This window comes from Homo sapiens, chromosome 3, assembly GCF_000001405.40.
Source record: "Homo sapiens chromosome 3, GRCh38.p14 Primary Assembly".
Classification (NCBI taxonomy): domain Eukaryota; kingdom Metazoa; phylum Chordata; class Mammalia; order Primates; family Hominidae; genus Homo; species Homo sapiens.
In genome coordinates, this window is record NC_000003.12 from 122,795,580 (window position 1) to 122,819,393 (window position 23,814).

Genomic DNA, 23,814 nt, shown 5'->3' on the forward strand with positions numbered 1-23,814 from the left:
AGCAGGCGCCTGCCCGCGCTCCAGGCCTGCCAGCCGCCTCCCTTGGCCCCGGCATAGGGGTTGTGTGAGGTGATAGAGTGTTGCTAGCATTCCATTTCTGACTTAGGAACCCTCCGTCCCCAAAGCGACAAATATGGAAAGGCAACCTTGCAAATATTTATGTTTTTTATCAAGGCCCTTTATGCAACACCAGGGATTTAAGCGATCTCTAAACGTTCAAGTTTTTACACATTGTGAACATCAGAGCATCCCCGTGCACGTGCGGTGTATGTGTTTTACACCTGACAAAAATGACTGATGCTTTGACTTCAAAGGGATATGGGGATGTTGAGGATGAAAGGTCGGAAAATAGATTGACGGTGCCCATATGTAAGGAAATAATGAGTTCGTTTTGTGTAATAGATGACTCCAGCCCAGGAAGAGCTATTGGGAAACTCAGATCTGACACTTTGGTTTCTGGAAGGTGGTGCTCGGCAGCTTTAAAATGTGTGTATGTGACTAGATGGCTTTCTCAGTTGAGATTTGTGACTTTCAATTAAAGCTTGCAGATGAGTGAAGATGCTTGCTTAGAATGGTACCCTGGACATCTCACTTTACCACTTGCCAGTGTGATTCTCTGAGAAGAAAAAGCCATAGGGCTGAGAATCAAGGCATACTTACCACATAAGTATGGATAAATGATTAGTAGTGACAGTCTACCCTCAAGAGGCTGTTGTGCAAGATTTTATATTTATTAATTGAATAATGCCTGGGAGCTACTTTGTACAGTTTCTGTTCAACCTTTTATAAGTTTTGTTGCAATGAGTTCTTTAGTCAGATTTGGAAGGTTGTCTTAGTCCACTGGAGCTGCTATAACAAAATACCATAAACTGGGTAGTTCATAAACACAGAAATTTATTTCTCACAGTTCTGGAGGCTGGGAAGTCCAAGATGAAGGCTCAGGCAGAATCGGTGTCGGGTGAGGGCCTGCTTCCTACACAGTGGTCTCTTCACTATAACATAAGATGGAAGAAGGGGTTAGGGAATCCCTCTGAGGTCTGTTTTATACGGGCAGTAATCCTATTCACATGGGTTCCACCCTCATAACCTAATCACCTTCCAAAGGCTGCACCTTCTTATTCCATCATTTTGAGGGTTAAGATTTCAAAATGTGAATTTGAGGCCTGGCGCAGTGGCTCAAGTAATCCCAGCACGTTGGGAGGCTGGGGTGGGAGGATTGCTTGAGCTCAGGAGGTCGAAGCTGGAGTGAGCTGTGATGGCACCACTGCACTCTGCCCTGGTCAACAGGGCAAGACTCGTCTCAGAAAAATTAATACATAAACAAAATATGAATTTGAGGGGAACACATTCAGACCTCAGCAAAAGTCAAGTGTAGGTAGGTATAGAATTGCAATTGTCTGGCATGTAGTTAGCACTCAAAATTAGTTGGTTATTAAGAGAATAGAATAGCAGGGTGATGTTAGTAGTTATACTTCCTTCTCTCCTCCTTCACTGGAATTCCTTCATTGGAATCCATGTGAAAAAGACTAAGGAATAGTTGATTGTGAATTCCTTAATGATCAACAATATAATGTAGCTGCTAAAAAAGAAAGGACAGTTTAGGCATAGAAACATAGTGTCCAAAACAAGAAGCAAAATAGTTTGATAGGCTCTACATTAGTGTTTAGTTCTGAGCTTGATTCTGAGAAGGCCATTTGACAAACTGCAGAACTTTAAAGGTTCTGCGACAAGAATGATAAAGGGTATAAAAATCATGATGTGTAAAATGAAGGGAACTTGTGTGTATCACACTTCAAAAAGAAACTTGAGGCAAGATATAGACTATGTGAAGATCAAGTCAAAGAGGAATTCGACTTATGTGTTGTTCTAGGAGGAAGAACTAGACTGAGTCAAGTTACAAAGAAATGTAACTCAAAGCAATACAAGGAAGAACCTTCTAACAAAGATACCCAGCCCTGAATGGGTGTGTCTTGACTGCTGTAGAACTTCCAGCTAGAGCAAATACTTTTGCAGAGGATGTGTGCTAGATGCCGAAGAAGGGCTTCTCCTACCAAAGGGAGATTTTCTTTGGGTTATTGTTGTTTGCTTTTAAACTAAATATTGATTTTCTCTGGGTTTCTGCTGGGCTCAGTGGCTCATGTTTGTAATCTCAGCACTTTGGGAGGCTGAGGCGGGTGGGTCACTTGAGCCCAGGAGTTAGAGACCAGCCTGGGCAACATGGTGAAACTCCAAATCTACAAAAAATACAAAAATTAGCCAGACATGTTGGCATGCGCCTGTAGTCTTAGTTACTGGGGAGGCTGAGGCTGGAGGATCAGTTGAGCCCAGGAAGTAGAGGCTGCAGTGAGCTATGATTGCTCCACTGCACTCCAGCCTCAGTGACAGAATGAGACCCTGTCTCAAAACAAACAAACAAACAAACCCAAAGTAGTACTTTACCTATAATCAATGTTACAATAATATTTTTTTAAAAAGAAAAAAGATTGTATTTGTTTCCACTGATGTATTTTTCTTCTGTTCCAGGATTCGGTCTAGGGTCCTCTGTTACATTTAGTTGTAATTTCTCTTTAGTTTCCTCCAATCTGTGATAATTCCTTGGTCATTCCCTTAACAAGGTTGGCTAAATTCAGGGGAAAATGCTGTGTTATAGTTTCTTTTTATTTTTATCAGGAGCATTTTTCAATATTATTCCCCAAATTTAGCCAACCTTGTTTTTTATGGTAGAAAAATGTTAATTTGCACCCTTCTTATTATAATTGTACCTACTATCCATGGCAGGATAAATTAGAAACTACCCATTCACTTTATAAAATAAGGTACTTTAGTTCTTCAGTAGTTCTTGTGACTATATGGTGAATTCAATTTTATATTTTCCTTTGGTTGAAGCAATAAAAAATACATTTAAAAATTCTCTTTATTAGGAAGTAGTTTTCATTTTTAGTAGAAGAAAGCAAATACACTTTTATATGTTGGCTTTCCTGCTACAGGTGTTCCATCTACGCACGTAGAAAGCAGGTTCTTTCTTGCTTCTGGCATCCTTGGGTACTAAAATATCTTTTTTTTTTTTTTTTTTTTTTTTTTTTGAGACAGAGTCTCACTTGGTCACTCAGGCTGGAGTACAGTTGTGTGATCTTGGCTCACTGCAACCTCAACCTCCCTGGGCTCAGGTGATTCTCAGCCTCTGAGTAGCTGAGACTACAGGCACGCACCACCAAGCCTGGCTAGTTTTTTGTATTTTTTGCAGAGACAGGGTCTCACCATGTTGTCCAGGCTGGTTTTCAACTCCTAGGCTCAAGCAAGGCACCAAAATATCTTGCACCCTGGGGGGTAGGTGGTTGTTTGGCCTTTGTGCTGCCTCACGCCCCAGCCTGATTAGCCTAGGAGACTGTTTATCTTCCTAAAATGGGTTTGTACCTTCCCACCCTTTTTCATTTACCAGCAAGGAGACAGAAAAGGACTAGCCAGAGAGGTAGTAGAGCCAAGACCAAGTGTGCCCTCGAAGCTAACTAAAGGAAGTTTCAAGGAGATAGCAACCCAGTGTGTTCCACGCACTGGGGACATGGCCCTCACAGACCCTCCTCCTAGTAAGGAGATCCAGACAGCAAACAAGAAAAGCAAATATTTAGTATGTCACCTAGTGATATTGATACTTGCTTTGGAGAAAAATAAAGCAGGGTAAAGGAGGAAGGGAATGTGATAGAGTGGTATCATACTTTACATAAGGTTTTAGGGAAGGTGTCACTGATAAGGTGTATTTGAGCAGACACCTGAAGGAAAAATGACACCTGACATGTTAGTTCTGGAGAAGACTGTTTCTGGCAAAGGGAATAGCAAAGATAAAGATTCCAAACTTGTCTGGCATGTCCAAGAAAGAGCAATAAGGCCTTTGTGACTGGAGTAGAGCCACTGAGGGGAACAGTGGTAGGAAATGAGGTCAGAGAGGTGGTGAGAGGCCAGGAGATACAGGGCCCTGTAAATCATTCTTAAATGGCATCTCAGCCATTATCCAGTGAGGAGGGCTCACTCCATTGACGGGCTTTAAGTGGAAGAGTAAAACGATGACTATGCTCTTGTCTTCAGGACAAGAGCCAGAACAGGGAGACAAGTTAGGCTAGTAGAATAACCCAGATGGGAGCTGATGATGGCTTTTGACTAAGGTGATAGTAGTGGAGGATTTGAGAAGTGGTTAGATTGCAGATATGTGTCGAAAGTAGATTCACCAGTATTTGTTGATGGATGAGATGTGGAGCGTGAAGGAAGGAGACGAGTCTAAGCTGTTTCTCAACTTTTTAGTATTACTGATAGGGAGAATACAGCTTCAATTTACTAAGTTGTGTAAGATGGTAGAGAGAGCAATTTTGGAGCAGATGGCGTGGAGATGAGGGATTTGAAATGCCTATTAGATACCCAAGTAGACAGATTAAACTGTCAATTGGATATACAAGTATGGAGTTAAGGGGAGAGGCCTGTGCAGTATATTTGGGAGTTGTCAGCCTACAATGGTATTTAAAGTAATGGGGCTGGTTCAAGCTCATTCTTATTGGTTAAAAAAAAGAAAAAAGAAAAATATAAAAAGTGTCTTGTGGCTGGGTGAGATCACCTGTGGAGAAGGGTGGAGCTTCCCTGGAGTAGAGGACTGAGCCTTGGGGCATTCCAACATTCAGAGGTTGGGGAGATAAGAAAGAACCAGCTAGTAAGGACTGAGAATAGAGCACTGGATTTAGCAACATCGAGATCTTTTGGTGTCCTTTGAAAGAATCATCTCCCTTGAATGATGTGGTGAGTTTGAAATAAAATGTAACAAGAGGAATCAAAGACAGTGAGTGTAGAAATTTCTTTCAAGAATTTATGCCATAAAGGGCAGCAGAGAAATAGGCAGTAGCCAGAGGGAATGTGGGTACTAAGGAGGTTTAGGTTTTGTTTTGTTTTTTCTTTTTTTTGGTAAGAGATATTAAAGTATATCTATTAATGCAGCATCCTAACAGTTCTATAAAAAGGGGAAAATTGATGATGCCGGAGGGAAAGGGAGGAACTGCTGTAGCCATGTAGGCAAGATGGGATGTGGTCCTCCAGGGCACAGGTAGACAAGTTGGCCTTAGATAGAAGCATTGACAGTTGATTCTTTAGTAGTAACGGGAAAGAAGATAGAGTATACACATAAGGTGCAGATGGTGGATGATAAGAGCTTGTAGAAGTTATCTTTGCTTTTTTCCCCTCAGAAAAATAAGAAACAAAATGATCCCCTGATGAGGGAGAATAGGGGAACAGTTACTGGAGAGAGGATTAATTATGAAACTATTTTATAGAAAAATGGAGAACACATGGTTTACGAAATTGTAGTAGGATTCTTGGGTAGCACTGAGGGCCTGCTTTCAGTGACTGATTATTAATTTGAAGTCAGACCAGTCAGCATGGTTGTGTGTTTCCCTCCAGCCTGTTCTGCTGGGCAAGTACAGGCATGGGCAGAGTTGGCAGAGAGATTTAACCAGAGTTGCAGTTTTACCAGGTGAATAGGACTGACAAGTACAGGCCAAGAGTAGAGGGTTAGGTAGAGAGCAATCTGACAGTGGACCATGGAATCTAAGGAGGACAAAGGAAACACATGAGGTGGTTGAGAAGAAGTAGCAAGCTCCCAAATTGTCATTCCGTATTTAATCAATAATTTGTTCTTGTTAGACTACTAGAGGGAATGAAAGGGAAAGAGAGGAGGCCATGGTTGAGGAATGGGGTACTTGAAATTGAGATTATGGCCTGTAATCCCAGCACTTTGGGAGGCCAGGTTGGGTGGATCACCTGAGGTCAGGAATTCAAGACCACCCTGGCCAACATGTAGAAACCCCCTCTCTACTAAAAATACAAGAAATTAGCCAGGTCTGGTGGTGGGCACCTGTAATCCCAGCTACTCGGGAGGCTGAGGCAGGAGAACACTTGAACCCAGAAGGCGGATGTTGCAGTGAGCTGAGATCGAGATCGCGCCATTACACTCCAGATGAATAGCGAAACCTCATCTCAAAAACAAAAAAAGAAATTGAGATTATGACATGGATGTAGTTGTGGTAAAGATAAGGTCAGAGTATAACCAAAAGCATGGATGGCAGAGGTAGGGAAAAGAGCGTACCTCAGACCATGGAACAAGAGGTCAGAGATCTGAGAGACCAGCATACTGAAAGGATCATCTAGTGGATATTGAAATCACCAAGTTTATGAAAGGAGTAGTGTCCTGAGGAGTAATAATGAGCCAAGACATCTTTAAGCAGTGAAGGCGAATGACCTGGAGGCAGGTGTGTGGTGGTCTGTAGACAACCACAGCAAGGAGCAGTGGGTATTAGTCAGAAAAAATTAGACCAAAGGCTGTTCTGGCCATGATGGAGTAACGGGAACTGGATTTATCCTTCTGTCTTAATTAAAAATGAAAAATAAGAAATCAAAATATATGGAACTAAATAAATTTCATGAGCCAGGCATAGCACACCTGTAATCCCAGCTACTGGGGAGGCTGAGAAAGGAGGATCACTTCAGGCCAGGAGTTCAAGACCAGCCTGGGCAACATCGTGAGACCCTATCTCTAAAAAATAATAATAAATAAATATTAGAATAAAACAAAATATGTAAAACAATGGTTTTCAAACATTGGGCGACAGGCAGGGCAGGACAGGGCAGTGATCCCTATGACTGCTTCAGTTTACCATCCAGAGAGAATTTCCAGGCAGGAGTACAGAAATGGGGAGCTCAGTCAGAGCCCAGCAGTTTTCCTGAATTGAGGAGACGGAGGTGAGAATTCAAAGAGGCCAACATAGCTAGAATTCTTAAGGTATAAAACAACAGAGGAGGAAACTTTACAGAGAATGTTCTGGATCTGCAGGGTGTTCCTCTTGAGTCTTCAGCAGAAAACTGATCAGAGGATACATGTGAGGAAATTAGCCAAGACTGGAGGAAGGACTGCCAAAAAAGAGCAGGCAGAACAGTTCCCCAGGATCACACAGGCTGGGAATAGTTCATGTTCCCAAGACCTGGAATGGAAAAACCTCTGCAAACATACTACAAATGTTCAAGAAGATAGAAGAAAGAAAGCATGAGCACATTAAGGAGAGACAAAGAGGACAGAAAAAGAACAACATTGAACTTCTAGAAATGAAAAATGTAATCAATGTGTAAGACGAAAAATATAATCAATGTCTGAGATGAAAAAAATATACTGGACAGGATTTAACAGCAGACTAGACATTGCTGAAGAAAAGGTCGTGTGACTTGAGTATATAGCACTAGAAACTGTCCACAATGGAACACAGAGAAATAAAGACTAAAACCGATCAAACAAAAAACATGAGTATCGGTGAGCTGTGGGACAGTTTTAAGTGGCCTAATATGCATGTAATTGGAGTCTCATAAGGAAAAGAGAGAGAAGTAAGCAGGGAGAGCATGGAGTGAGATGGAGTGGTGCAAGAAAATTGAAGAAATAATGGCAGAACATTTTCCAAATTTAATGACTTCTATAAACCCACAAATCTAAGAAATTTAAGAATCCCAGCAGAAGACCCATAAGGAATCCTACACCAAGGCACATCATGGTCATACTTCTTTAAACCCAGTGATAAAGAGAAATCCTTAAAAGCATGGAGAGAAAAAAGACCAGGTAACTTGTGGGCAGAGAGAGTAGGAATGATCTGGAAGTGGCAGGGAAAGCAATGTAAGGGATTTCTCTGGGAGTAAGAAGGTAGAGAGAATGTTTGGAGAAGAGCTTCAGGAAGGTAGGGATTCCAGTGATTATGCCTGAGCACTCCAGAAGGCACAGAGGAAGGTTTCTGGAGTTGAGGAGGTAGGAAGAAGAGATGAGGTCTCATTAGGGGATGTATAAAGCCATATCAGGATAAAGATGACCTGTGAATCTTGAATCTTTTGTGTCTGATTTAAACAGGAAAAACAGGCATGATGTCATTAGTTCTGACAATCTCCAAGGCAGATTGGGGTGACAAGGCTGTGAGGGTTATGAGCAGGGAAAAGGGGATCTGCCCCGGAGCCAGCAGAGCTCATCTTCACTTCAGCTGATGGAAGTGTGGAGCCACGGGAGGGTGGTCTTACCAGGTGAGCTCTGTGCCTGTTGCTGATTTTCCATGCTTCCACTATGGGTGTGTGGGTTGTGGGGGAGGGATTTAGTCAACTCTGCAGCCTGATTCTTTAGACATCTGCTGTGGAGATTTCCATTCCTACACTCAATGGGTCCCCAGCAAAAGGAGTTATCACATCTGTTGAAAGGAAGCATTCTGAATGTTGGATGCCATGTTTGAAAAGAAATATTTTTATTTTCAATGATGTTTGTTTTTCTGAAATTGTTCACAGATGGCTTTTACACTTACATCCTATTACTGTTGTAATCACTTGGGGTCTATTTATATAACAGTCCTATATGTCTCAGAAGCCAATCTGTTAGGCAGTTCCTACATTGCTATAAAGAAATACCTGAGGCTGGGTAATGTGTAAAGAAAAGAGGTTTCATTGGCTCATGGTTCTGCGGGTTTTACAGGAAACATGGTGCTGGCATTCACTCATCATCCAGGGAGGCCACAGGAAGCTTACAATCATAACAGAAGGTGAAGGGGGAGCAGCCACATCACTTGGTGAAAGCAGGAGCAGGAGAGAGAAAGTCGGGGAGGGGGATGCCACACACTTTTAATGGGCCAGATCTCATCTCCTGTGAACTCAGCAAGAACTCAGTCATCACCAAGGGGATGGCCCAAGCCATTCATGAGGATCTGTCCCTATGATCCAAACACCTCCCACCAGGCCCCACCTCCAACATTGAGGATTACATTTCAACGTGAGACCTGAGTGGGGACAAATACCCAAACTATATTAGGCTATTCTCCTGGGGTCCTCATAACTCCTTTCCCTTGATGAGCTGATATCTTTTTGATTACATGGAATTATAGAGTTATGCCTTGTCAGGATGTGAGTGACATGAGGAAAGCATTTTATTCAAGATCATCAGCTGGGATAGATTAAACAACACTTGGCAGCAATTAAAAATACACAAGAAAGCCACCACACTGTACTTGTGAGGTTGCTTTATTTTTCATTTTTGTATTTTTGTGGAGATGGGGTCTCACTATGTTACCCAGGCTAATCTCAAACTCCTGGCTTCAAGGGATCCTCCCACCTTGGCCTCCCAGTGTGTTAGGATTATAGGCGTGAACCACAGTGCCTGGCCACAGATTGCTTTAATAAGCAGTTTTTCACAATTTATTTACTCTTAAAAGTTTATATTAGCTGTTGTATTGTTAAATATTTGATAAAAAGCATAACTGAGTAAAGTATGGTAGCCTTCAGCAGTAACAATAGGAAGCCTGGTTATTGGACCATATGGCCATAAACAGTGCCTCACTGCTTGCTTAGTGTCTGCTTACCTTAATTAAAAACAAACTCTTTAGAAAAAAATAAATATCATGTAGAATGTAAGCCTATGGTCCCCAACCTATAAAAATTCTATTCAGTATCTCGTAGGGTACCCAGTATATCCTTGTAAGAGCAACATTTTGTGATTTTAGGATATTTATGACCATGTATGTACGTTTCATTAATTGCACTCTGTTTCCTGTGGCTATAATGTGATTTTTAAAGTCTGTATTCTGTTAGTAGAAGCAGTAAATGAGCAGTATGTATGCATTACTTGTTACCAAGAAGCACAGTTCCCTATGGTATTCCTTCTGGTAAATTGTATTAATCATATCCAGATTATATAAGAATATTATAAAGTAATTCAGTTCATATCACAAATTATCCTTAATGTAGCATGTCTGGATCTCAAGTTTATTTTCTTTGCTATGTTTGATCTGCATAATTATAGTCTTGTTGACTTTCAATTTTCTTCAAGGAGAGTAGCTCTTTAAAAACCAAACATTTAACCATGTACCCTCTGCAAAAAGAGAGGAGAGAGCCCTGGAAAAAAAGAAATATTACATCAGTCAGTTTATGTCTATTCTCTGTGTGAAGTGGTTTCAAGGTGATGTTGGATTTGGGAAAAATTTGAAGCAATGTGGCCACCTTTGCCATAGACTTTGTATGAACCACCTGTGTGATGTGGCTGCCACAAACAGTAAGATATGTTAATTTAGTATTAACAGAGGCGTAGCATTCCAACAATAGGAGGATAGAGTTCTGTTAGATTATTCTGCCATAGCTAGAATATTGTTGTCTATTTCTGATTATCTTGTTTTTGTATTTGTATACTTTGCCCTCTGTGTGACCAACCACTGACACACATTTTCAAAGTAATTGTTGTGTTTGGAATACAAGGGGAAAAAACTATGTGATCCACATTGTCTTCTAAAGTCCTAAGCCGTGATTTTTTTTAACATTATTAAGCATTATTCTATAATGAAAACCATCGGATAAATCAAGAAAAAAATAAAGACTGTGATTATATTAATAATCAGAGAGTTCTAAAGGACCACTTCCTATGACGCTTTAACAACCTTAGCTTGTTCTGATTATGAAATATGTAGTTCCCTAGTTGTCAGTTTTGAGAAAAGTTAAGGCAGTACTCTATCACCTTAAAATACTTTTTAGGGACAGTTAAGAGTTTTTTTTTATTAGCAGCTTACATTTGAAAATTCAGATTTTTCTATTAGAGATATAAAACTAAAATATCTAGTCTTTGAAAATTATTTGCCATATTTTTAAGTATTATATCTGAACGGAACATTTTAGACATTCCTTTTGAAAAATTAGAGCTAATAGAACTTCTTCCTCCATCTTTGATATGAACATTCCTATTTTCCATTAAAGTTAGAATCATCTTATTTTCTTTTTTCTTTTTTTGGAAACAGAGTCTCACTCTGTCGCCCAGGCTGGAGTGAAGTGGTGTGATCTCAGCTCACTGTAGCCTCTGCCTCCCAGGTTCAAGCAATTCTCATGCCTCAGCCTCCCGAGTAGCCGGGATTACAGGTGTAATCCACCACACACGGCTAATTTTTTTATTTTTAGTAGAGACAGTTTTACCATGTTGCCCAGGCTGGCCTCAAACTCCTGAGCTCAGGTGATCTGCCCACCTCGGCCTCTCAAAGTGCAAGGATTACAGGTGTGAGCCACCATGCCCAGCCCATCATTTCATTTTCAGCATGTAGGGTTCGTTGTTTTTTTTTTTTTCCATTTTTAAAGTTATACAGAAAAGCCATAATATTAGCATATAATGTCAGTATGATTGACTAAAAATAATCTTTATTTTTAACATTGGACTTAGGAGAAAATCAAGATAATTTCAATGTCTTTGTTTCATTTTAGGTCTCCGGATAACTGTGCTCCTGACATCCTTCCTTATGGTTTTGGGAACTGGTCTAAGATGCATACCTATATCAGACTTAATCCTTAAAAGAAGGTAAATCCTGTAAATAACATTTCTCCCCCATTTTTCATTTTATTATGTGTATAAATTTTTAAGAAGATCAGTAAAGGGTCATATTTATAGAAGCGTTTATTTTTTTACTCTATATGATGATTAATTTAATTGATATTTATCAGTTGTCATGGAAGACACTAGTTGTTGTGGAAATAAAAAGAGCAAGTTAATCTTCATATTGTCCAGGAACAATAATAATCATGTGAAAATAATAGTATAACATACCATTTGTAAGTATAATAATATAACATATTATATATATATATAGTGTAGTTAATGCTACAGAAGAAATACAAAATTGCCTCGAGACTAGGAGAAGTTTTGGCTGTGGGTATCAAAAAGAGGAGTTCATAAAGGTGGTGGTAATTAAACTAGGCATTGAATGATGAGTAGAATGTTGGTAACTATAGTCAGGGGAAGGGTATTCCAGGATGGGGGAATAGCAAGAGTGAAGCCATGGAGGCAGGTAAGCATAGGCCTTTTCTGGGGTGGATAGGTAGTCTTATTTGTATATAGCAGCCTTTCTGCAACTGGGACCGTGGATTTATTCTTAGGGAGTGTAAGGTATACGAAGGTTTTAAATTTTGTTTTTATATTGGTTATGATACAGTATTATTTTACCAGTAATAATCTGCAATAAAAAGGTATTTTTGTTGACCAGGATGTTAATTTCTTAAATTAGTGTTTCCGAGACTGGGGTCCTTGAATGTGACCTTGAGAGTCGTTGAGAAATTTTTTCCCTTTCAGAAGGACCCATAAATTACTCAAGTTCGAGAGATACTGGTCTACAGATTAAGGTGTAAGAATGGGATATAAAAAGATGAGGTTAGAAGGTTATATTTTGATTCTGAAGGGTCTTGATGCCATCCTGTATTATTAACAGTGTACTTTACTCACTGGATAGTGGAAAACCCCTTAGGCTCTTAATCAGAGGAGTGCTAGTATCAGACCTATGTTATATTCACTATGGATTGAGATATGTAGGCTTGATTATAAGGGGTAGAGATTGCTGGCAGAAGACCTGGAAAGATACAGTGGGACCCCAAGCTGAAGTCATTCTTTTGTTGGTTCATTTATTAGGTCATTCATTCATTCAACAGAATTCACTGAGCTTCTACTATGTGCCAACCTCTTTGTGGGCATTGGGAATATGACAGAAGACAAAGCAGATAAAAATTACTATGTAATGTAGTAAATTACATAGTATATTACATAGTACATAGTAATTTACTATATAATGTACATTACATGACATACTATGTTTGTGATGTAGTTTCATTCCACTCAGGGAAACCAGCAATAAACTAGATAAATAAGTAAAATACATAGTATGTGCTATGGAGAGTAAAACAAAATAGGAAAGAAGGATATGAAAAGGCGAGGAAAGGATGGTGAGATTTCAGAAAGAAAAACCTAACTGGGAAGATAACCTTTTGGGATAAAAACCTGACAGAAGTAATGGATGATGCAGTATCTAGGAATCAAGCATTATATGCAGAGAGAACCGCAAGAGTTCAGGGTGGAAGAGGGACAGGGATGCCTGGCAGGGAGGCTGGTGTGGCATGAGAAAAGCAGGTAGCAAATGAGGTCAGAGCGGTTACAGAGTGGTAGTGGGAGGGTGGGACCAGATTCTTTAAGACCACGTCAGCTCCTCAGCTTTTTCTGAGCTAGGAAACCACTGGAGGTTTTGAGCTGAGAGTGCCATGGTGCTCGGCTGCTCCTTTGAGAATGGACTGAAGCTTGAGGTCATGGGCATAAGTAAGGAAAGTTGGGAAACAAGTGCAATAAACCAGGTGAGAGATGATGGTGGCTTGGACCATAGTGGTGGCAGTGGGAGTGGTGAGAAGTGGTCAAATTCTGATCATCTTGAATATTCAAAATGTAATTATATTCTGATTATATTCTGGTCCATTTGCTGATGGACCAGATGTGGGAAGTAAGAGAAAGGAGTCCAGAATGATTCCATGCTGTGGGAAGTTGGGGGAATGGAAAGGATGGCACAGACATGAGGGGAAGTGTGAGAAAAAGAGATGGGAGGTGATATGCTGGAAGTTTCACTCGAGGGACTCTGAAATTGTTGATTCCATTAACAGATGGGGAACACAGAAGTGGGGGAGAGTGGATTTCAGGGACAAGATGTTGACTTTCTTTTGGAACAGAATTTTTCAGTTTCAAAATAAATGTTCAGTTTTGAATTTCAAAATGTGTTTTCTTTCTAGAAAATTTAGGGTACAAGGGTTCATGTTTGAAAAGGGAGATAAGACAATCATCTAGGTTCCTATGGAAAGCTAGTCATAATTTTCCATCCTTCTCAGTTAGATTTTAACACAAGTCTCATTATTGTATTTGAGATGCTCTTAATTTTTCAAACACCCAGAGGTGTGTTTTTTCAAGCATCCACAGATTTTAAGTACAGATTTTCATGTAAGCTTAAATTCAACACTGCTTTCTTTTAAAATGCCTATTAAGGCCAGGTGCAGTGGCCCACACCTGTAATCCCAGCACTTTGGGAGGCTGAGACAGGTGGATCTCTTGTGCCTGAAGTTTGAGACCAGCCTGGGCAACACAGCGAGACCCCATCTCAAAAAAAATACCTATTAATATTTTTGCTAGTTTTTCTTCTGTTTTGGGCCATCCATACTATTACTTGCCTCCAGTCTCATATCCCTTTATATCCTTTCCATATACAAAATTCTGGGAATAATAGAGTTGACCCTCCATCTTGTTGGAGAAGGTGGTATGAAAAAGAAACAATTCATAAATAAATGTAAACAAATGTAGAACAGGTAAGAAGTAGAAATAAAAAGTTCAGAGATTGAATCTTTCATAAAAAGAGTGTATAAATTGAATTTTCAATCTTATACATTCATCTATAAAGAATACAGGAGTATTAACCCCTTGAAATAAGACTTCATTTCGTAGTCTTTAAGCATATCTTTTAAGCAGTGTTGTTAACAATGCATGATGAAGCTGTTAAAATGAAAATGCTACAATTGGAACATGTATTTTCAACAAATCAGGTGTATAGCCATCACTTTTAAGCTTCAGTCTCCATCCGATGTTCCAGGGAAGGCCAGTGTTGAAACAAGCATTTACAAGTCTGTGTTTTTGTGGCCTTGTTTCACTCGGAGCTTTTTGAGCTTTTGACCCAGCCTTTTGGAATGGCTCCCCTGCACCCTTGACTTCCTGTATCTTAGCTCCCTTAAGTATCAAGACATGAGAATAGCAGCATTCTGACAAGCTCTTCCTAATGGTGTTCTACTTATATATAGTATCAGTATTTATTTTATTTGCATAGTACTGATGAAAACTCAGGAAAAAATTATTTTGCCACGTTTTTCTTATAACATCTTAGATAAATAAGGAACTTGGTATAACAAATTATAAAGCATTTTTTCTTCTATGATCTCGAACAAAATAATACCCCAAAAAAATTGTAAAAGCCATCACTCTATTGCAATGAGCGCTATTACTCTATAGTGTGAAATATTATTATATTGCTTTCCCAGTAAACAACTTAAGGACTTCTGAAGGGTGAACTTATAGTAAGTTATATCTGCTCGTAATCATAGGTGTATCCAGTGATTCCTGTAACACATGCCATGTATATTTTTAAATTTTATTTTAAGTTCCAGGATGCATGTGCAGGATGTGCAGGTTTATTACGTAGGTAAACATGTGCAACACATGCCACATTATCTTTTCAGTTCGGTGTAATTTTCATTAATATTAACAATACTTAATGTTTACCAACATGTATTAAATAGTTTGGTTCTAGTAAACATAGATTTTCTAGAAATATACTCCATTGTGAAATACTTTGCAGCTGGCAGGATTATGTTTAAAATGACCCTAACAGAAAAAGGTGAATTGTTTAGTGACTGATTTTGTGACAGCTGCTTAGCTATCTGAATAAACAGGAAGAAGAACCTAGATCCCTCCCTTACCACTTAAGTAAATCCCAGCTGTATCAAAGACTTACATGTAAATAATGAATCATAAAAGTATTAGAACATGACTGTTTTACAGAATCTGAGGGTGGAGAGGACCTTCCAATTAAGACACAAGTCCCAGAAGCCATAAAAGAAAGCCTTGATATATTTGACTATGTAAAAATTTAGATTATCTTTATGATTGAATATACTATAAAACAAAGTCAAAAGATGAGTTAACTGGGAAATATTTGCAACCGTAAGACAAATGAGTAATTCCTTAGTTCTTTGAAATCAATAAGAAAAATAGCAACTCAATAGGAAAATAGGTAATGGATATGAGCAAGCAATTACAGAAGTTGAAATATAAATGGCATGAACTCAAGAGAAGTTCAAGAGAATTCTTTCTTGAGAACTCGAGAGAACTCAGGAGAATATTCAGCTTTCGTCATAATTAAATAAATGAAAATTAAAATAGCAGACAGATGTCTATTTACTGGCAAAGATGAAAAAAATTGATAATGTTCTATGCCTGAGATGTGGGGAAAAACAGGCACTGCTGATGTGTGAGCAGTTTGGGGCATCATCCTATTTGGAGGGCACTTTGGCAGTATTTACCAGATTCAAATATACATGTCTTTAACCTACACCTATATTTGCACTTATAGAAAATTAGCCCACATATAAAGCTCTGTCAGTTTGCAAGAATTACCATGTTTGTGCAGCTTTGCTTGTAATAGCAGAAGGCTGGATGTAACCCAGATGCCTTCAGCAGAGAACTGATTAGGATGCAGTATATCATGGAATCATATTGCACCATGAAAAGGAAGTAAAAGTCCTATAAGTGCTAATATGAAAATATCTCCAAAATATATTGTTTAGTTAAAAGGCAAACTTTAGAATATTATGTTTAGTATGTTCTTACTTGGAAAAAAATGGGAAGGGTATCATTGGTTTTTTCTGGGAAGAGCATCTGAGGAATAGAAGTCTGAGGTGGAAAGGACATTTACTTTTTATTTTTTACTACTTTTGGGAATATTTTTACCATGTGCATATATTAGCTTTTTTTTTTCTTTTGGAAACACTCTGTTGCCCAGGCTGGAGTGTGGTGGTGTGATCATAGCTAATTGCAGCCTCAAACTCCTAGGCTCAAGGGATCCTCCTGCCTCAGCCTCCCATGTAGCTGGGACTACAGGCATGTGCCATCACACCTGGCTAGTTTTTAAATTTTTTGTAGAGACAGAGTCCCAATATTTTGCCTGAGTTGGTCTCAAATTCTGGGTGCTAGTGATCCTCCCATCTCAGCCTTCCAAAGTGCTGGGATTACAGGTGTGAGCCACTGCACCCAGCCTATATTACCTTTTTAACTGAAAGCACTAGCTAAGTAAAACTAAAATCACCACCTCAGAGCCTTAATAATAGGAAAAGTAAAGAGAAGGAAGGGTTATAAATTTGCCCAGCATAGAAATGTAAATCTTTTGATGTAAAAATGAGCAATTGGTAGATTTAAGAACTAAGACTTTTCTCAGTAAAATACAGAAGATTCAGATTCCCCTATATCAGTGTCTTCTAAAATATCATTCACAGATTTCCTGCTTATTAAAATACAGATCCCAGGGCTCCAACCCAGTCCCACTTAGTTAGGCTCTTGAGTGAACCCTGAGAATGAGCAGTTTTAACAAGCTCTTTTAGTTAGTCTTACACTCATTTAAATTTGAGAACTACTTTCCTAGTTCCCTAGTCTTATACTCATTTAAATTTGAGAACTACCTCCCATCTTCACTTTAAATAGTAATTGATTAAACAAATACCTTTATGCTTGTCCATCCTACAGTATAATCACACAATACATTTAATGTCTTATTTTAAAGCAGATTAAGGATTAGCCTCTATTTAATAAATCTGTTTGCCTTAATTTGACTCTTAAAACTCAAGGCAACTCAAGGCAAGTAAAACTCATGACTATGTCTGCATAGTGGTCAGGTGGACTTAAGAAAGATTTGTAAGAAAAGATAACCAGTCATGATAAGCATTTAAGAGGGAAAAAAAGGGAGTAAAAGGTGTGTAAAGGCAGGGCGTGATGCCTTTATAATCCCAGTACTTTGGGAGGTCAAGGCGGGCGGATCACCTGAGGTCAGGAGTTTAAGACCAGCCTAGCCAACATAGTGAAACCCAGTCTCTACTAAAAATACAAAAATTAGCCGGGCGTGGAGGCGCTTGCCTGTAATCCCAGCTACTCGGGAGGCTGAAGCAGGAGAATCCGGGAGGTGGAGGTTGCAGTGAGCTGAGATTGCACCACTGCACTCTACCCTGGGCGATAGAGCGAGACTCTGTCTCAAAAAAAAAAAAAAAAGCTGTGTAAAATTGTCTTTAGAGTTTTGGAAAACTCTTTTTTTAACCTTTTTGTTGTTTTTGAAATACGGTTATTTATGAGACATTTTTTCCAAGGGCCCACAATGTCATTTATGAATTTTTTATTGACTTTTTTCTTGTTCGGTACATCATACAGAGAAGTATATACAACATACATGTGTATCATCAGACTGATACCCATGTAGCCGTCACTCAGCCCAGACTCCAGAAGTCTCCTGCGTGCCCCTTCCTGCTCATAATCCTCTCTCTCCCTCCTGTATATCATCACAATCATGAATGGATAGAATTTTCAAAGTAGACCGAGTTGAAATTTATTAAGAATATATTCAAAACCTATTGCAAATGTTTATTCTTTTCTTTGAAATAAGGATTTGCCTTAGATTTCTTTTCCGCTTAATACCAAAGGGGCAAACAATTAAAACTTTATCTGCAACAAAATGATTAGAGGAACAAAATATGCTAGAGGCAGATGTTGATAACAATTTAACATATAATTTAAAAAATCAGGATTATTTGAAAAATCATATTTTATTAAATAGAAGTTTATGTATTTTTGCAAATTCATTACATATTAGTTTAAAAAAATGAATCCTTACTTTGCACCATGCATTAAAACATATTCCTGATGGATTGGAGAGCTGTGTATTTAAAATGAGACAGGATAAGGGAAAATGAATCTTAAAGACATTGCTTTATTTCCCAAGCATAAAAACAATGAAAGTGGTGGCTCACACCTGTAATCACAGCAGTTTAGGAGGCCAAGGCAGGTGGATCACTTGAGGCCAGGAGTTCAAGACTAGCATGGTCAACATGGTGAAACCTCGTCTCTACTAAAAATACGAAAATTATCCAGGCATGGTGCATTCCTATAATCCCAGCTACTTGGGAGGCTGAGGCATGAGAATCACTTGAACCTGGGAGGCGGAGGTTACAGTGAGCCGAGATTGCGCCACTGCACTCCAGCCTGGGCCACAGAGCAAGACCCTGTCTCAAAAACAAAAACAAACACAAATCACAAAGGGAAAGATTTGTGATTTGGGTTTTCAGGTTAGAGTTAGGCTAACATTTTGACAACATTTTCCAGCTTTATGCTTCAAAACAGATTATAAAATTAAAATGCAAACTGGGAGAAATATGTGTTGCAAATATAATAGATAACTTATAAGTAACATGAGCATTTTTGAAAATTGAATAGAAAAATGGACATAGTAGACATGGCTAACAATTGTTGATTCTCAGATTTCATCATTTAAATGTATAATTCAACAGTCAACATTTATTGACAGCATATGTATATGTTAGTAAAGTACAGACTGAGCTGTGTAACAAACCAAAAATATTGAGGCTCAATAAGGTAGAAGTTCATTTTTCTCTCAAGGAACAATCTAAAACAAGCTTGTCCAATCTGTGGCATGCATGCGGCCCAGGATGGCTTTGAATGTGGCCCAAAACAAATTTGTAAACTTTCTTAAAACATTTTTTTGTGTGACATTTTTTTGTGAGTTTTTTTGTGTGACTTTTTTTTTTCTTTTAGCTCATCAGCTGTCATTCGTGTTAGTGTATTTTATGTGTGGCCCAAGACGGTTCTTCTTCTTCCAGTGTGGCCCAGGGAATCCAAAAGATTGGACACCCCTGGTCTAAACAATAGTGGGCTATTCAGGGGAAGTAGGCAGCTTTGTTCTGAAAGGTCCTCCAGGACCTAGGCCCCTTCTCTGTTGTTGCTCCAGCATCTCCTAGGGTGATATTATTGTCTGTATCATGCTGTCATTCCAGCCCACAGGAGGGTAAGTGGGATATCCAAGGCAGGTGACTGCATCTTCTTTTTTTTTTTTTGAGATGGAGTCTCACTGTCACCCAGGCTGGAGTGCAGTGGCATGATCTTGGCTCACTGCCACCTCCACCTCCTGGGTTCAAGCAATCCTCCTGCCTCAGCCTCCTGAGTAACTAGGATTACAGACACCTGCCACCATGCCCTGCTAATTTTTGTATTTTTAGTAGAGATGAGGTTATTTATGTTGGCCAGACTTGTCTTGAACTCCTGGCCTCAAGTAATCTGCCCGCCTCGGCCTCTCAAAGTGCTGGGATTACAGATGTGGGCCCCCATGCCTGGCCTGTTTGTGTCATTTCTAGCCATATCCCATTGGTTGCAGACTTAAAACTTGGCCACATGGATCTGGAAGAGAGGTTGGAAAAGTAGCTCAGCAGCAATGTATGTAGTTAAACTCAAGGATGCCATACCAAAACAAAGAAAGGGAGAATAAATAGGCAGAGACAGTTAGGAGTCTCTGCTGTCAGATGCCTCCATGTGTCCATGCACTCCCCTCTTCCCATGTAGAGAACATACTCATCCTTCCTCAATGGAGAAAACTCAAAGTCCTGTCCAATTAATGCATCCAGCTCAAAATCCAGAATCTCTGGGCTCTATCAGATCTTTGTGGCTCTCTGAAAGTAATTTCTTTGATTATTGTTTGTGGCTTTTGGCTTTGTCCTCTGGAAAGCTCTTTTTTTGGTCCATTATTCCCAGTGACCACACCTGAAGTGGTTGTTGGACATTTCACTTTCTGCTTGATGCTGATTTGGGAACCTGAAGATTACTTTAGGGATCAAGCAGTCTTAATCCTTGGTAGAAGCGTTTTGTAGTATCTTGGCAATACGCTTCCCTCAAATGCTTAATAGTCTTTTGGTCTATTTACATCAGGTAGGTTCCATGGAAATGTAGCCATGCCAAAATATTTCTCCTTCTGCTTATGGTTCTTATACCTGTTGAATCTCCTCTTTACTTTACCAGCTTGGGTACCCATCCCAGATTTTCTCAATTTAGTGGTATCCACATTGATGCCATCTGAAAAAAGTAGGCCTGGGAAGGAAAATATCACCCTTAACCTAATTTTTGCTGCTAGACTGGCTCTGAAGCACATTTTATTTCCTGCCATTTGGATTCAGAAGCAACCTGAGGCTTCAAATTTCTGGATTCTCATTAAATTTATATTGCAGGCCTCGGGCAGAGAAACTCCCTTAGCAGAGCTCTTGTCCCTTCCATCTCTGCTTGCAAACCAGCTAATTCTTTATATCTCTCTTGTGCCATCCTACACTCAGTAAGGAGCAAGAAACACAGAGTAATGTTCTGATTTTTTTCCAGCAAATCCCAGGTCATCACAAGCAGTGGTATTGCTGCGGCCACAGGTCACCTGCCTTTTCTGCCTACAGCCTGACCACTAAGTCAGTGCCAATATGTTGTGCCTTTGTGAATGCAGCACCCCAATTCTTGAGCTAATTTCTCAATTAGAGGACAAATTAAGTTGCTATAATGAGGAGATCTCAAAATAGAGTGGTTCAAACAAGACAATATTTCTTTCTTATTATTAGTCCAGAGTAAGCAGGTGGGCCAGGGCAGGTAGCAGTTCTGATCTACGAGGTTGTCTAGGGACCTGGGTTCCCTCTATCTTGTTACCTTCTCCCCAGGGAGATGACCTTGACAGTATAGTCAACAGCCAGTTCATCAGCACAGTGGTCACATTGCACCCACAGGAAGAAGCAGAGCAGGGAGAACAGTTCTGTCTTCATGGAGGTGACCTTGAGGTCCCCCTGCTCTAATCTCATTGGCCTGAACTTAGTAATAACAAGGCCCCAGCTATCTGTGAGGAGCGCTTTTACTCCTGCAAAAACTTAAGGTCTTCTGTAACTAAAAGGAAAACAGAATGACCCTGGGGTAATAGTTAATCATCTCTACCACAGGCAAATTGGCTACCTATTTGGGAGGAAAAGACCATTTTGTATCCTCATGTCATATAATGTGTCAAAATAAATTCAAATAAACAAAATGGTTAAATATTTAGCTGAGAAACAATATATGGGGGTATTTATCTGATCTCCACATGGGAAAGATATTTTTTCCAAGCATGAAAATAAAGGAAAATCATAAAGAGAAAGGTAGATAGATTTGAGGAAGAAGAAGTCAGAGAAATGTTTTCTTGCATCTTCCAGCAACTGCAGTTGCTGCCTTTGAAAACAGAGGAAGAGGGCCCTGAGCCAACGAATGCGGGCGGCCACTACAAGCTGGAAAATCAGGGAAACAGATTCTCTTCTAGAGCCTCTTGAAAGGAACCCAGCCTTGCCAACACCTTGATTTTAGCCCTAGAGTCCCATGTTGGACTTCTGATTTATGGAACTGTAAGATGACGCGTATGTATTATTTTAACCACTGAGTTTGTGGTAATTTGTTATAGCAGGACTAGGAAACTAGTCACCAAGTTTTGCATGTGTGTGTGAGAGAGAGAGAGAGTGTGTGTGTGTGTATTTTTATTTATTTATTTATTGTTTTCTTTGATTTTTTTGTTTGAGATGGGGTCTCATTCTGTTGCCCAGGCAATTGTGGCTCACTGCAACCTCAATCTCCTGGGCTCAAGCAATCCTCCTACCTGAGCTTCACAAGTACCTGGAACTACAGGCATGTGCCACCACACCCAGCTAATTTTTTTTTTTTTTTTTTTTTTTTTTTTGTAGAGACAGGGTTTCACTATGTTGCCCAGGCTGGTCTCAAACTCCTGGGCTCACATGATCCACCTGCCCTGGCCTCCCAAAGTGCTAGGATTGCAGGTGTGCACCACCTTGCCCAGTGTGCATGTATCTTTAAATAGTGATGCTCTGTGCTGATGAAGCAGACACTGTCAGCTACTACTGATGGGAATGTAAATTACTACTAATCCTCCTGAAAAACAGTTTGCGAGTATATTTCCTAAGATCTAGAGTGTTCACACATTTTAACTTACTGACCCTAAAATAATTTTGAAAGTAGCTAATATTCACATACAAAGATTGTCACACCAGCATTATTAATATTAGCAAATAAGTTGTTGGAAACAACTATCCAACATTAGGAAAATGGTTAAATGAGATTTTATATATCTGTATAATATAATATCACAAAACCATTAACAATTATTATAAAGAATAATGAAATGAGAAAATGCTTGATAGACCATAAAATGACTTAGTGCATAAGCTGTATATTCAGTATGGTATCTGTGGTTACCTATGTACGATTAAGTATTGATTGATCAAGAGAGTGAGAGATGCATTAGGAAAAAAACTGAAGAAAAGACTGGAAAATCAAAATATTAGTAGTGGTTGTCTGAATTGGGGTATTCCATTTATAGATGATTTTTTTTCTTCTTTATGCATTTCTTTTCAAAATTTTCTACTATGAATATGTATTAATATATACTCTTAAACAAAAAGACAAAATAAAAGTTATGTGACAAGAAACAAGGAATGAAACAAAATGAGGGGAGGTAGACATCTTTCAGACCAGGACTAAGGCCATTTTTCCCCTGTGCATTGCTGAGAGATTATTGTATATGACCTTAATAAAAATCTTGTGAGAGAAACTGGGCTTGTTGGCTCACACTTGTAATCCCAGCACTTTGGAAGGCTGAGGTGGGTGGATTGCTTGAGGCCAGGAGTTCAAGAGCAGCCTGGCTAACATGGTGAAACCCCATCTCTACTAAAAATATAAAAATTAGCCGGGCGTGGTGGGGTGTGCCTGTAGTCCCAGCTACTCAGGAGGTGAGGCAGGAGAATAGTTTGAACCCAGGAGACAGAGGTTGCAGTGAGCTGAAATCACACCACTGCACTCCAGCCTGGGCAACAGAGTGAGTGAGATTCTGTCCCCCCCAAAAAAAAAAATATTGTGAGAGGCCAGCCTCTGTGGCTTATGCCTATAATCCTAGCACTTTCGGAGGCCAAGGCAGGAGGATCACTTGAGGCCAGGAGGACTAGCCTGGGTAACATAGCAAGACCCTGTCTCTACAAAAAATTTAAAAATTAGGTGTGCTAGTGTGTGCCTGTAGTCCCAGCTACTTGAGAGGCTGAAGTGGGAGGATCACTTGAGCCCAGAGGTCGAGGCTGCAGTGAGCTGCCTTCGTGCCACTGCATTCCAGCCTGGGAGACAGAGCAAGACCCTGCCTCAAAAAAAAAAAAAAAAAAAAATCCTGTGAGACAGAAAGTATCTTTGGAGAAATTGAAACAGAAAGAGAATGTGATTTTCTAAAGATTATATGGTTAATAAATTTAGTTAAGACTAGAAGCTAAGCCCTGTGATAGCTAATCTAATATTAT

General features: G+C 39.5%; 1 protein-coding gene across 1 annotated transcript in view; it reads left to right on the forward strand.

The window, feature by feature from the left end:
* The window catches only part of SLC49A4 (solute carrier family 49 member 4), an 86,071-nt gene that overhangs the window by 511 nt on the left and 61,746 nt on the right, over window positions 1–23,814 (forward strand). Inside the window, exon 2 of the mRNA NM_032839.3 lies at window positions 11,278–11,371. Coding sequence (NP_116228.1) covers window positions 11,278–11,371 — 94 coding nt within the window. The remainder of the gene's footprint in view (window positions 1–11,277; window positions 11,372–23,814) is intronic.